This window comes from Homo sapiens, chromosome 1 (assembly GCF_000001405.40).
Source record: "Homo sapiens chromosome 1, GRCh38.p14 Primary Assembly".
Lineage (NCBI taxonomy): Eukaryota > Metazoa > Chordata > Mammalia > Primates > Hominidae > Homo > Homo sapiens.
This window is the reverse complement of record NC_000001.11, coordinates 89592435-89605341: the sequence shown is the minus strand read 5'-3', so window position 1 is coordinate 89605341 and position 12907 is coordinate 89592435. Positions and strand designations below refer to the sequence as shown.

At 39.2% G+C, this 12907-nt stretch overlaps 1 protein-coding gene across 4 annotated transcripts in view, besides 2 other annotated features; it reads right to left on the bottom strand.

The window, feature by feature from the left end:
- Positions 4326-4575: an enhancer, noted in NCBI's record as "active region_1296". NCBI's record gives its function as "activates an Ori minimal core promoter by ATAC-STARR-seq in GM12878 lymphoblastoid cells {active_cell/tissue: GM12878}" and the evidence as "EXISTENCE:reporter gene assay evidence [ECO:0000049][PMID:35858748]".
- Positions 6623-7139: an enhancer, noted in NCBI's record as "NANOG-H3K27ac hESC enhancer chr1:90063762-90064278 (GRCh37/hg19 assembly coordinates)". NCBI's record gives its function as "activates a minimal SCP1, AML or CMV promoter by ChIP-STARR-seq in primed H9 embryonic stem cells {active_cell/tissue: H9 hESC(primed)}" and the evidence as "EXISTENCE:reporter gene assay evidence [ECO:0000049][PMID:30033119]".
- LRRC8B (leucine rich repeat containing 8 VRAC subunit B) overlaps positions 7481-12907 on the bottom strand; it is a 73033-nt gene continuing 67606 nt past the window's right edge. For all 4 annotated transcript variants that reach the window (NM_015350.4, NM_001134476.2, NM_001369819.2 and 1 more), the window contains one exon: positions 7481-12571. In NM_015350.4, coding sequence (NP_056165.1) covers positions 12299-12571 — 273 coding nt within the window. In that variant the 3' untranslated portion in view covers positions 7481-12298. The remainder of the gene's footprint in view (positions 12572-12907) is intronic.

Below are 12907 nucleotides of genomic sequence, written 5' to 3'. Positions count from 1 at the left end.
TTTCTCATGTGAAAGGGAACATTCCCTTCAAATATCAGCAAGATGGTCAGATGTTTATGCAGAATCTCAAAGCTCAGCATCAAGATTTCTGGTGAACATGGATGCTGTTTACACTAGCTTTACAGTCTAGTCAGGGAAACAGACACTAAATAAGTCATAGTTATCAAGAGGATGGATACCTCAAAGTATAGTACCAGTTGCCCTGGGAACAAACAACAGGGGGATCTAAGGATGGACTGGTCAGAAAAATGCCACCTTGAAGAAGTGACCATTTATACTGAGAACTGGATGAACAGGAGTTAGCTAGGCATAGGAATTAAGGAAGAGCCTTTTTGGCAGAAATGCATGTGCACAGACCAAGGCAGGAAAGGACATACTTTGAAATATTTTCTATCATCTTTGGAGGAAAACTCATTAAAGCTAACGTAGAAAGCAACCACTAGGGTCAGACAAGATGCTAACATTTTACACATATTATCTCGTGGAATCCTCTTAAGATCTTATGAGGTTTGTTTCTATGAGGAGTGGGTCTTATTTGTCCCTGCTGTCCCCCACTGTATTCACAATACCTTAGGCAGCATCTGGGTAAGTAGCAGACACTCAATATTTATAAAATAAAGCTTACATTTTACAGACGAGGAAGCTGAGGCTCAGAGGTACAAGATGACTCAAGAGTTACTGGTGAAAATAGGGCTCTGATCCAGGTTGGAGATGAGTACCTTCTGGGCTGTCAGTCCAGGAAAATGCTCTTGTCTTCTTCCAGATAAAGCAGAGACTAGGCCGGGCCTTGGACAGTCTTAGACTGGGCATGAGGGCACAGAGCAAGTGAACAGCACATAGCTATGTCTGCCCACTGCATTATCAGATGAACCTGGTGAGCGCATAGTCTGCCCTTGGAGCTGGCACCCAGGTGGGGCTGTACCCTAAGACCAGGCAGAAGTTAACATCTCTCAGTGCACTGAAACCTAGAGTCATGTTTCTCCAACGGGGAGCCTGTTAGCTGACCTGACACTCAGGTCTCAGCTGAACAGAAACTGGAGAACTTAAAACTGTCAGGCATCTATTTGCCCTAGGTCAGACTCTGGGAGGAAAGCCAGTGATAAAGGGTCAGCCTCAGCTTTCAAATTTTGGTGTTAAAGCCCAAGACAGCCAAGTACCTCACAGGTCACCTTTATACCTGTGCAACCTCAGGACATTTCTCTTAACTGGGAATTGTAACCTGAGCATTGTGAAGGCCCTGCTGGGAATGTTTCTAACTGTACTGCCCTAAATAGCTTCTCTTCACTGTCTACTTGGCTCTCCTGACGGGGAGGCACTGCAGAACAGCCCTTTAAGATAATTCCATCCTCCTTCACTTGCTATTATGCTTGAGGTTCTTTAGTGAATAAAAGTCTTATTCATGTGTCATAAAAGTGAATCATTTCCAAAGCTGAAAAAAGAAATGTATGACATACTCAAGTTCTTAAGAAAATTACTCAGTATTAAACATGATCAACACTTCCCACTCACTCAGCATTTTATGTAGATCAGAATATTGGAGTTGGAAGGCCAGCTAGCGAGCATCCAAGCCCACCCACTCACAAGGCTCAGTTAGGCTGCTACCCTGTGCATGCAGATCACACTGCAGATCACACTGGAAATGGCAGGATCACGAGGGCTAGTGCTGAAGCCCAGAAGTCAAAAGAACCCTATTTTCTCTCCCTCTGTCAGACATCCTCCAGCATCCTCACCAACTTCCCCAAGCCACAGCTTACCCTGAGAAGCATGTTAATTTCTTCCAGGCCCTTCTAGTCATTAACTTAGCTGGGGCCTTTACTGATGATCTGAGACAACACCCAAGCCATCTGCCTTATTTCCAGCATGAAAAAATTCTCCATGGACACTCTGTTCATCAGGAGAAATTATTATACTCACTACCAGAGAGAAAGAAAAAGGGAGAAGAGCTAATTTCTTTCATCTTCTAGAAGAAAATTTAAAAATAGTGCAAAGTCCCAGTAAGGTCGTTTGGTAAGTCATCTTCCTTTCATAGAAGAGCTCAGTGGAGAGGGCCTGGGACCCCTTAGAGCCACAGTCCCACTGTGTAACGGGCCTTGGGGACACCTGAGCAGGTGACTCACGTGGACCTGACATGACAAACATTTCAAAGGGCTAGCGTTTTGAAGAACCTCAGGGGAAATGCCAAGTGAACCAGTGTTAAATGGCAGTGGATTGTTAGAGCTGGGGTTGAAGCTTTCTTCCTGCTTCGTAGTGCATTCAGCCAGAAGGCAAAGCCAGGGTCACAGCATCTTCCAGGGCAAGGAAGGCAGCTTCTTATCTGGAACGTGGCATGAATTCAATAAGGACAGCCTAACTTGTCCCTCCTCCTCACTCTTCTCACTCTCCAACATTCTAAATCAGCAGAAGAACAAATTTAGCCTGAACTGTGATTAGAAGTCATTTTGTAAGTCTAAAATGTTTGCCAGCATTTTCCTATAATAAATCAGCACTCTCAGGGAGTTAAACTGGAACTTCCATTCTCTAATAAAACCCAAACTGACGTGAGCCTCATTTGCAAACTGAAACAAAAAACACTAAATGTTAACAACTCTTTTTAAGAGGTTGGGGTCATTATCCAACATCACCCACAGGGTCAGAAATCCAGCATGACACTCCATTCTTCTAATGACAGCAAATGTAGATTTAGGTTAAAACATTAAAATATAAACTATGCACTTTCAAAATAATCAAAGTTTATAAATAAATGGGTTATTTGGAAGAAATTATACTAAAATGTTTAAAACTCTGTGTGTAGGCATGCACATGTCTACATGTGTATCAATCTTTTTCAACATTCAGAATATTCAGAGCCTGCACATTATAAAGAACAGAATACTGAATTAGATGTTAAAATCCTAGAGTGTGCTCACAACCCTACCACTTACTAGCCATATGACCATGGCAGTGCATAGTATACAAAAAGTAGAGTCTATGGTGCTATGGAGTCCCCAGTTTAAAACCTGACTCTTCCATGTGCTATGCTAGCTATATAATCTAGTATGTTAGTTAAGCTACCTGAACCTGTAAAATAGAGGTAATGCCTACTTGATATGCTTTAAGGATTAATGATATTTATAAAGCTCATGGCAGGTGCTTTAGTAGTTCCCAATAATGGTAACCACTGAAGGTGTCTCTTTCAGAGCCCAGTTTGCTTATATGTGAAATGGGAAAAATGGCCTAAAGTTCTCTGGTACAGTGATGCACTGTGCATGGGAAGGGATTATCATTAAGATGCAGATTACAACTAAAATGAATGCAGCTTATTAGAGAATACACAGATTCTAGAGTTAGGTGGGAGACATGGGTGCTGATCTGGCTCTTCCACTAGTCTTTGGTGAAATGCGGATTATCTGTGCTCTTCAGAGCCAGCACAGTAGGGTGAAAAGAGCACTCAACGGGGGCATGCACAGATCATGGTACCATCTTCCTAAATCACTGGGGCTGTGATCTCCAACAAGCCACTTAACCCTTCCTTCTCAGCAAATTCTCCATGGTTTCTTCTCATTGGGAAGATCTCTGAATCCAGAATTACATTAGAGGATGAGGAGGAAAATAAAACATACAGGAAGTGACTATGGCTGAGGAGATAGAAACTAGGATAGCTATAGAGCAGGAGGAAGCACTAGGATCAAAGCAGACTGGACGAGACCACTGAGCTCTGAAAACCAGAGTTTTCAAAACTCCAAGGTGGTTATGAGAGGATAAAGTTGATGTTTAATGTTCAGCTAATCTCTGTAGAAACAGGCTATGCAGACCTGTAGGTTGAATATGGTTCCTGTTCTCAGCAGTCATGAGACCTTGGGATGGTAATAATTTGAAAGTCTTCTTTCTCACCTGTAAAATCAGAACAACATACCAAATAGGGTTGTTGGCTGGATTGAGAGAGTACACATGGAAAACCTAGCAGACTGCCTGGCACACAGGAGGTGCAAAATAAAGTTATTGTCATATACCACCTCAATACTTCTTCCTACAGTGATGCTCTCCAAACTCAAGGATCAGGAACTAAATAGTTAGATTATTCTCTTTTCTCAATTTGAAGCCACCAGTGAGGTTCCCGACATGCATTGTGCTGCTCTGATATCACAAGCCAAGCAGATTTTCCTCAGGCCACTTAATGCGTGTTGCATCAATTCTTCACGTGGCTACTTCTTTAGGCTTTCCCTTTTCACAGAACAACTGCCAGAGAAAGGCTCAATCTATTATGAAAAGTGTGGTTTGATCCACTTGAAAAAGAGAACTGTTCTTTTCTCCCCTTGAGGATCTGAGAAGTTTCTCTATGCATTACTACAGACAAGGGTGTGAATCCAACCCAAGCTCAGGGAAAGACTAGAAGGAAACTCCCTTCACACAGGTGGTGTTTAGTCCCCCACTAGTGGTGCAGTTTCAGAAACTCCAGAAGGGAAACCTTCCCACCTACTCCTTAATGACTGAGAAGCATTTCAAGGGAGAAACAGTTTTTCACACCACAATGGTAACTCGTTCATTCCTGTTGAGAAGAAAATAGTCATGGCCATATCCAAGGTACTCACATGCTAGGCTGTGCTGAACTAAGGGTAAGTGCACTTAAACAGGTGCCTGGGGTATTAATTTACAAGGAGTAACTACATGTCATTGGAGTAATTGGAAATTTGGTGCCAGTTAACTCAGGTTTCCACATGTAATTCCTTATGTTAGCAGCCTAACAAATGAAACTTGGCCCTTTTCCCATTCAACATAAGGAATAAGTCTCTTATTTTAAATTTGAAACTGTGGCAAGAAACTACCTTCTAGAAACAGAGAATCTTGATAACTGGGAGACATGTATTTTGGTGAGAACAAGCTAAAGCATCATCCTTGGAATAATAGGTATTTCATATTCTTGAAGATGGGAGTTAGTAATAGGTGAGGATACGTAAGCTTGGAGTATGGTGGTTGGGGCAATGCCGAGCAGCACAATCCTAGAGCAAGCGAAAGAGAGCAAGAGCCCACAAAAGTGGTTGGAGGGAGTGAGATCTGGGAGGGATAAGGGTGCGGGACAAAGAGAGTAGGATGCTTTGAAAGGGAACAAGAAGGGAGACTTAGCAGCTGACAGGCCTGCTCACAAGGCCCGGGAGACTGATTGTCGATTGGGGATATTCGACAGAAATGCCGTGAGCTGTAAAACCTCATATTCCCTACAGCCCCTAGGCCCACTTGTCTTTCTGCTAAATTATCTTTAAACTCTTTCTCATTCTTGCTAGATAGAGTTTTAGTTTTGGAAAAAGGAATACAAAGATAGTTAAAATGTTCATGATTGTTTTTTCCAACAGAACGCCAGTTTTCCCATTTCTACCAAAAACATGTTGAATAAACATTCTAAGCATGTTCTTTTAAAGGGGTACCACACACTTACCTGCCCAGGGTGCCCACACGGTATGGTCTGATCTTGGTGCCAGGAACTGCATGGGGCTATGTGCATCTCATTTGAGGTACAGTTACTGATATTAAGTGAGGGCCAATGAATCCTCAAGATCTTACCGTGGGGGCTGCATTTGATAAAGGCAAGGGAAGGCAAGGAGAAACTGAGTATAGGAGCAAGAAACTGGATGCTGTGGTTTAAGGACCATATCAGGAAGGAGAGGCTAGGCTCCAAAACAGTAATTGCAGGGTCAGTGCTGATTCATAACTTTGTAAATCTTTTACACCTGCAATTGTGAGGCCCACGCTCCATGAGGAAGAAGGTTGGCCAAGATTTACAAATGTTGATAAACCTAAAAAAGCATTTCTACTCTACCTACAGAGGCTAGGACTGAGAAGTCACTGCTCTTGGCAAATAAGCGATTGGTAATCTGTGTAAGAGAAATTACCAGGAGGGGCAGAAACTGGGACATGTGGAGAGCTGGACAGAAGTGGGTTGAAAAGTGAATACTCAGTGAGGAAATAGGGCTGACCAGAAGGTTTGGTGTTAAAGGAAAGCAGAGAGAATCTGTGATGGCTTTGCAGGTAAGTAAGATAGGCATGAATCTTTTTTTCCAAAAGAAAGAATCTGGAGTTATATTAACCTACAGATGGGTGTTGGTGGCATGCTTCTATTTGACATTTTCTCCTCTCAGCAGCAGAGGGAGGTAGAGAGTAAAAAAAATGATGTGGATTGAGCCCTATAGGAATACAAAGGGCTCCAAAATGGAAGGTATTTATCATAAGGAAATAATTTGAAAATCTCAAGAGCTAACAGGCAGCTCTATAGAATCTCTGCTATTTAGGAGGCAGAAAGACATAACTCGAGTCTAGGGGAAGATGAGATAACATGGGATAAAGAAAGAGATTTGCATTTTAAAAAGACTACGCATATTAAAGTGGCCTTTTCTGATCCTTCTTTAGCATGTCGATGTAGGATCTTATGTAAATATGGGACTTGAGTTTGAGGTCTGGCTTTGTGCATTTTGGATAAACTGCTTTTCCCTAGACCTCAGGAATGAGGGTGACAAAACACCAGGTGGGAACAGAGAAGGAAACAAACCATAACAAAAGTTGCCGCTCCAGAGAATGGAACCTTGCCCTCAACAGCACCGGAGTCTCTCCCTTCCAGTTGAGCCCTTTACCACTTTTTCAAAAAGCCATTTTGAAATGTGGAAGTGAATGCTGAAGTACATGAAGCCACAGTTATTGCTGTGTTTAGGGGGCCATGTCACTGCTGGGCAGACTGTTAGCATATAACTTCAGCATCTCAAAGCACCTAGCAGTCCCTGAAAGGCTGCTAATGCCTGGAGGCAGGCACTCACTTCATTTCAATAGACTTCCCATTCCTGAACCACTTAGAGATGGGGGAAGCCTTTCTTGAATGACTTACTGCATTTTCAGAGAATATGGCCAGGGAACAACTAAGTTACTTTCCTTCATAATCTGATTCAGTCTATATATATTCCAGCAAAATTCTGGCTATCAGCCTTCTAATGTGGTCCTGAAACTGTGTGTGTGTGTGCATGTAAGAGACCGAGAGAGGCTGTTTTCTATCGAAAAGTTCAAACTATCATGTACTTATTTTATCCAGTAATTCAATTTTTTCACCTTTGACTAAACCATCTCAGAATTGCCTGTCTTGCAGTTCTTTAGCTTTTGCTTACCTGGTTCACAATTCAGTGTTAAACAGGAAATGGAGAAACAGGCACCAAGAAGAAAGGAGAGAGATGAGGCGTTCTATGAACATCTGTCCCTGATGAATTCCAAGGAAAGACGGGCCCACTCATGAGAGATCTACTACCCCCCGCAACCCATGTATTCTAGGATCCACGCAGCTCTTTTCAGGTGCTTGTTATTTTGTGGCCATGGTAGCATATTTTGAAAACTCATACCATTGTTGTAAGATTCACATGTAAATCTGAAATCTATTATTTGGTGAATAACAGTACGACAGTACAAGGAAGCATGAGAAGAGAGAGGGAATCACTTTTGGAACTTGGTTAAAATTAGTACAGTCAACTTCTTCCAGCATTTACTGTTTTTATTTGCCATTTGTTATAAAAATTGGATCTTTATTTTACACAAAAGGTACTTTAAAAACAGTGAAGTTTACCAAAAGCTACTGAATCTGTGGCAAAGGGATTTACCACCAAAAATGCAGATTTACACAGTAAACCTGAGGGCCAAAAACATTGAACAAAATCTTCCATTTTCTAATAATTCATTACCAGAAGCAAAAACAATTGTACACAGATAAATATGTGAAGGTTAACAAATGCTAGCTTTCACTCTTGCACTAACCAAATAAAATGTCTCTATTCCAGATTGGCCCATTATTTCACTAAGTGAAGTATTTGAAGAATTTAAAAAAAATCTTCTTGTAAACATTAATATTTAAATACAACATATATATGCACGAACACATCCATTCTAACTCTATACCCCTTTGTATTCTTAAAATTGCACCATCTCTGTTAGAGATAATGTACAACATGCAGAAGGCATTCATAATTGTTTTTCTCAGCAGTAGTGTATTATACAAGTTAAATGCAAAAGTTAAATATGAAATTAAACTCAACTGAAAGCCATCTCGACTCAGTACTTTGGCTCATTATTCTATGTTAATGCTTTAGTGCTGATGAAATTATTCATATAAAAAATCTGAAGAGAATGTAGCCTGTTACCAAAGGTATGTAGTAGATAGCTCCCTGTGGATACAGAAGTGATGGACAAGAAACAGAAGGAAACCAGTGAAATAAGACTGCAGGTTTTCACTGCTTCAGCTTTTCACATCCAGCTGAAAAGAAATAATTATATCGAGGGCATTCTGCAACAGTAATTAGCTTATACTATTTCAAATATATATATGATGACTTCATAATACAAACTAGGATGCAAAATAACTCCTTCCCTCCCCCACCATTCTGTCTGTTTCCAGATAGAAATAAACAGATTCTGATGCAATGTACAGTTACTGAAAACAAAGCAGATCTACAGTTACATTGTCCTGCTTTGGGTACAGATCAGCTCTAAATACTGCAGGATGGGCAAAGTAAAACTACTCAATGAGACATAATTACAGGCACTGGCTTCCTCCTAAATAAATACATGCTCAAATATCATTGCAAATCTTCTGGCACAAATATATTCTGTTACTGTACAATTGCTGATCAAATTTAGTGCGGTAGGTGAGTGGAGAAGGAAAACAACATACCTTATGTGCATAGGATGATGCTAAGAGAATGTGAAGATGGAAAGATGAAAAGAAAATTTTATTGAAAACACAAGAAAATAATGTTAAGGGCACAGAATAATTGTTTGATTATTTTAATGGTTTTTGAACCCATCAATATTATGCAATATTTTAATTAAACATAAAATTTTAATCACAAAACACTTGAACCGAAAAAAAATTTTTCACTATCAAACAATGTTATGCAAATACATCACTGCAGTGCACCACAGCACACCTATTGGAGCTATGCCACAGCACTGAGATACTGAGGATCTCTATTTACCCTGTTTAACACAATGTGAAGTGACATAAAATACAGTGACATACAGGGGAAAGAAATTAAGACTGGGAGTGAAGAATGAAAAGATAGTATCTGTGTGCCACACAGATGTACCCTGATGTAAGTTAGGAAAAGAACACTACTCCTTTACTGGAATGCTCAAAAACACTTAGGTTCTCAGATTAAGGTTGAGCATGTGATTTCTTCTAAATGTCATAACTTAGGGAACAGAGCACTTCATGATTAATGAATTAAAAAACGTGCTATCATACTTAATTTAATCTACAACCTCCTGCAATTTTGAAAAAAAAACCACTAGATATATCAAAAACTAATGCTATAATTTGCATATATGAAGTATGTGTGTCTGTGTGTGCATGCAAATAAAATTAATCCATGCCATTACTACCGTAAGCTATGAATTTTGTTCTGAATAACCTCCACATTTATTTTTTGGAAAATGCATATGTATTCTTGAAATCAAATGCCAACGAAAGTCTCATAATTATAATTTAACAAACTTAATTTTCTTCATTTAAAATTCTCTTATGTGAATATGAACACTTGTAAAATAAAGATCTGCTCCAACAGTACAGTAAAGGTGGTATTAACACCCTATTTTTTATGTGAAGTAGTAGCCTCATTTTTCCTTGCATCAGGGCTACCTTGTCTCAAAAGCGACCTAAACACTGGTGTATAAGGTTTAAATTAAAAGATGTAAAACCATGGCATCAAGAACAACATAGATTGCACCAATAATTATACCCTAGTGTGTGGAAAGCAGTTTATAATATTCATTATTAATCCTGCTAGTAAATTCTTCTAGAAATTTACGTAGGTGATAAGGAAAATTTAGCCAATGACTTCTGCAGTTGAACCAAACCAGTGACGAGCCATGGAGAAGTTCGTCAGGTGAATGGTAGCAAATCTGAATTTTGTTTTGAAATTCTAGCTAGTTATGTGGCCAAAAACATTTAAGCACTTTTGGCATATTCATGTCCAAAACTTAATCACATGCCACACTGGAATCAGTATACATGATAATTCTATTGTGAAACACTAAAATAAACATCAACTCACACTTTAAAAAATGAAAATAACAACGAAAAACATGGATATAATTAGAATCTGTTTTCTGAAGTCCTAGAAGTTTCATCAGTTATACCTGCTTCCCTGAGAGCTGAATGTTCTGACTAAAGGCAAGTTTTGGTAAGTAGTTTATTTTTACACTGTTCCTTTCCGTTCAGAATAAACAATAATGTGTGAGGCAGTGTGTTTGGTGTCCTATATTCCTGATAGCTAATATTATTCAAATTTCATTTGATTTGAATAATTCTTTTCTTTGAACTTTAGTGCAGGAGTGTGTGGCAGGTGAGGGGAAGCTCTATTTGCTATGCTTTAAAGACTCACTTTCATCTTTCTGGAACAAAGCAAGAGAAAACACATACCACGCACCACAATTCCATATACACAGTACTGTTTACCTATAGTGTTTTCCAGTTTTGTGTAGGTGCAGTTAATAGATTTCTTCATAGTTATATCCAAAATGAAGAGGTGGCATCATAATGCCTAGACCCTTAGGGAAAAACATATTAAAGATGTACATTTCCCAAAAATGAGTCAGTTGATTTTATTCATTAAAAATATGCATAATAAAAGGCCAAGCACAAAGCTCTTTATAAAAAGGAGCAAAATGTATTTTCCAGAAGAGTTAGATAAAGGCATGAGATGAATTTCAGTTAAATGGATCTATTTCTTTGTGGGTTTTGAGAACTCATTTTAGACACTGAATAGAGGCTGTTTTACATTATAATCATAGCTAGAGATTACATAGATGGAGGGAAAAAAAGTCTTTTGCTTTAACTCTTACTAAATTTCTATAAAGTATTTTAAAATCAATTTAAAAACCAAATCTGTACCTCTCCCCTCTATCACAGTTTTTGTAAGTAATTAAGAATTTTACCCGTACGATTGCACAGCAACTATGGAAGAGAGAGGTAGATGATTCGGCCACCCTCTCACAAGGAAACCCCCAAATACTTTAGGGCATTAAACACAAGGCTTTTGTTATCCAAAAGTAATTAGTTGCAGAGTACAAAAACATTTTGGAGCAGAATGTACATAAACATGAGTCATAAACAGCCGAAACCAAGAACACTAACAGTAAGTTCATAAAGAAATGCACAAATTCTATGTATCTTACAAAAATGATCCTCACAGATGTTGAATCCAAGATTATACAATAGAAAATATTTATATGTTTTACATTTAATATAAAAATTCTTAACAAATAAAAAAAGGCCTTGATGATAGACAAGAAGAAATTTTAGGGAATACATTAATTTTCAGGATGCCCCGAGGATAATACATCTTAAATACTCAGCTCCTGTTCTAGGCAAAGGCCAAATGCAGGCATTTTCTCAGGGTTCATCATTGGTGTTAAGAGAAAACCAGGTTAAGGAAGACTCAAGCAAGCTGGGAAAGGAAGTAAAAATTAAGCCAAAAAAGAATTCTGCCAAGCACAACATACCCTATCTAAAAAAATTTAGGAACATAAATCAAAGACAGTCGTGAGTATACATCAAGAAAATTCATATTGATGAGTTTATGGTCTTGGTGATAAATATCAAAACAGGAAGTCAGTTAAAACAAGTGTGCAAATAAGTAATGGGGACTGGGGGAAGAAGAGGAGAGAATACCTATACAATCTTGAAGGTAAACACTGCAAGGAGGAATTTAGTCATTTCATAGCTCCCAGTCCACCCTGGATGTGCATTTCTTGCAACATCTCAATAAGTTAAAGAACAGTTATTCACAAAACTTCAGGTTAGTGTTAACAGTTTTTACCTGGTTAATTTAGGGCTAGACACTCAGTTGCTTTAATAAGACATTTAGTTATGGTTCATCATAATAGTCACCCATTCTTCATCTTTATTAACTTAGAAAATTTTACTTCTCATTTAAAGCCCTGGAGCATTTTTTTTTTTTTTTTGAGATAAGAGTCTTGCTCTGTCACCCAGGCTGGTGTACAGTGGCACAATCTCGGCTCACTGCAACCTCCACCTCCCTGGTTCAAGCAATTCCCCTGCGTCAGCCTCCCAAGTAGCTGGGATTACAGGCGCACGCCACCACGCCTGGCTAATTTTTTTGTAGTTTTAGCAGAGATGGGGTTTCACCAGGTTGGCCAGACTGGTCTCGAACTCCTGACCTCAAGCAATCCGCCCATCTTGGCCTCCCAAAGTGCTGGGATTATAGGCATGAGCCACCACGCCCGGCCGAGCATACTTTTAAAAATGATTTTGAAACACGGGTCTCTTTTCTTTAAGTCAACATTTGTCTAAGCACGTCTGTAAACGTTCTGTTACAGGGAGAGGAAGAGTATTGAGCAAGTTCTCCTCAACAATCAGACAGTTCCGTTTTAGGGACTGACATCCTTCTAGTTCAGGAGGAAGTGTTTCCAGGTAATTACCAATGAGCTCCAGATGAGTAAGGTTTGACAGCTCACCCACATGAGGGGACAAATTCATCAAGCTATTTTTCCCCAAAAGTAAACACTGCAGCTTTTTGCACTGAAACAGCCCATCTGGTAGCATCTCAATCTGGAAAGGGAAGAAAAAAGAAGCTGGTAAAATAGGTTTTTGGTGGCTTATGATAAGACATTTACCTTTTTTCCAAAAAAAAAAAAACAAAACATTTCTGGAGGTTTATAAGTGATGCAGACTACAATGATGATAAATTTGAAGTAGATGAAAAGATAGAGGGAAAATGAAGACAGGAGTACAATGAGGAGTGAGGACTGTGGCTACCCTGGACACCTACATCCTTGCTGTATATGGGTGGGCAACGAATTTGGTTTTAAACACTCTAACAAGCAATTCTTAAATAAAATGTAGTTATACACACATTGTCGTTAAGATAAAAACAAACCAGTAAGA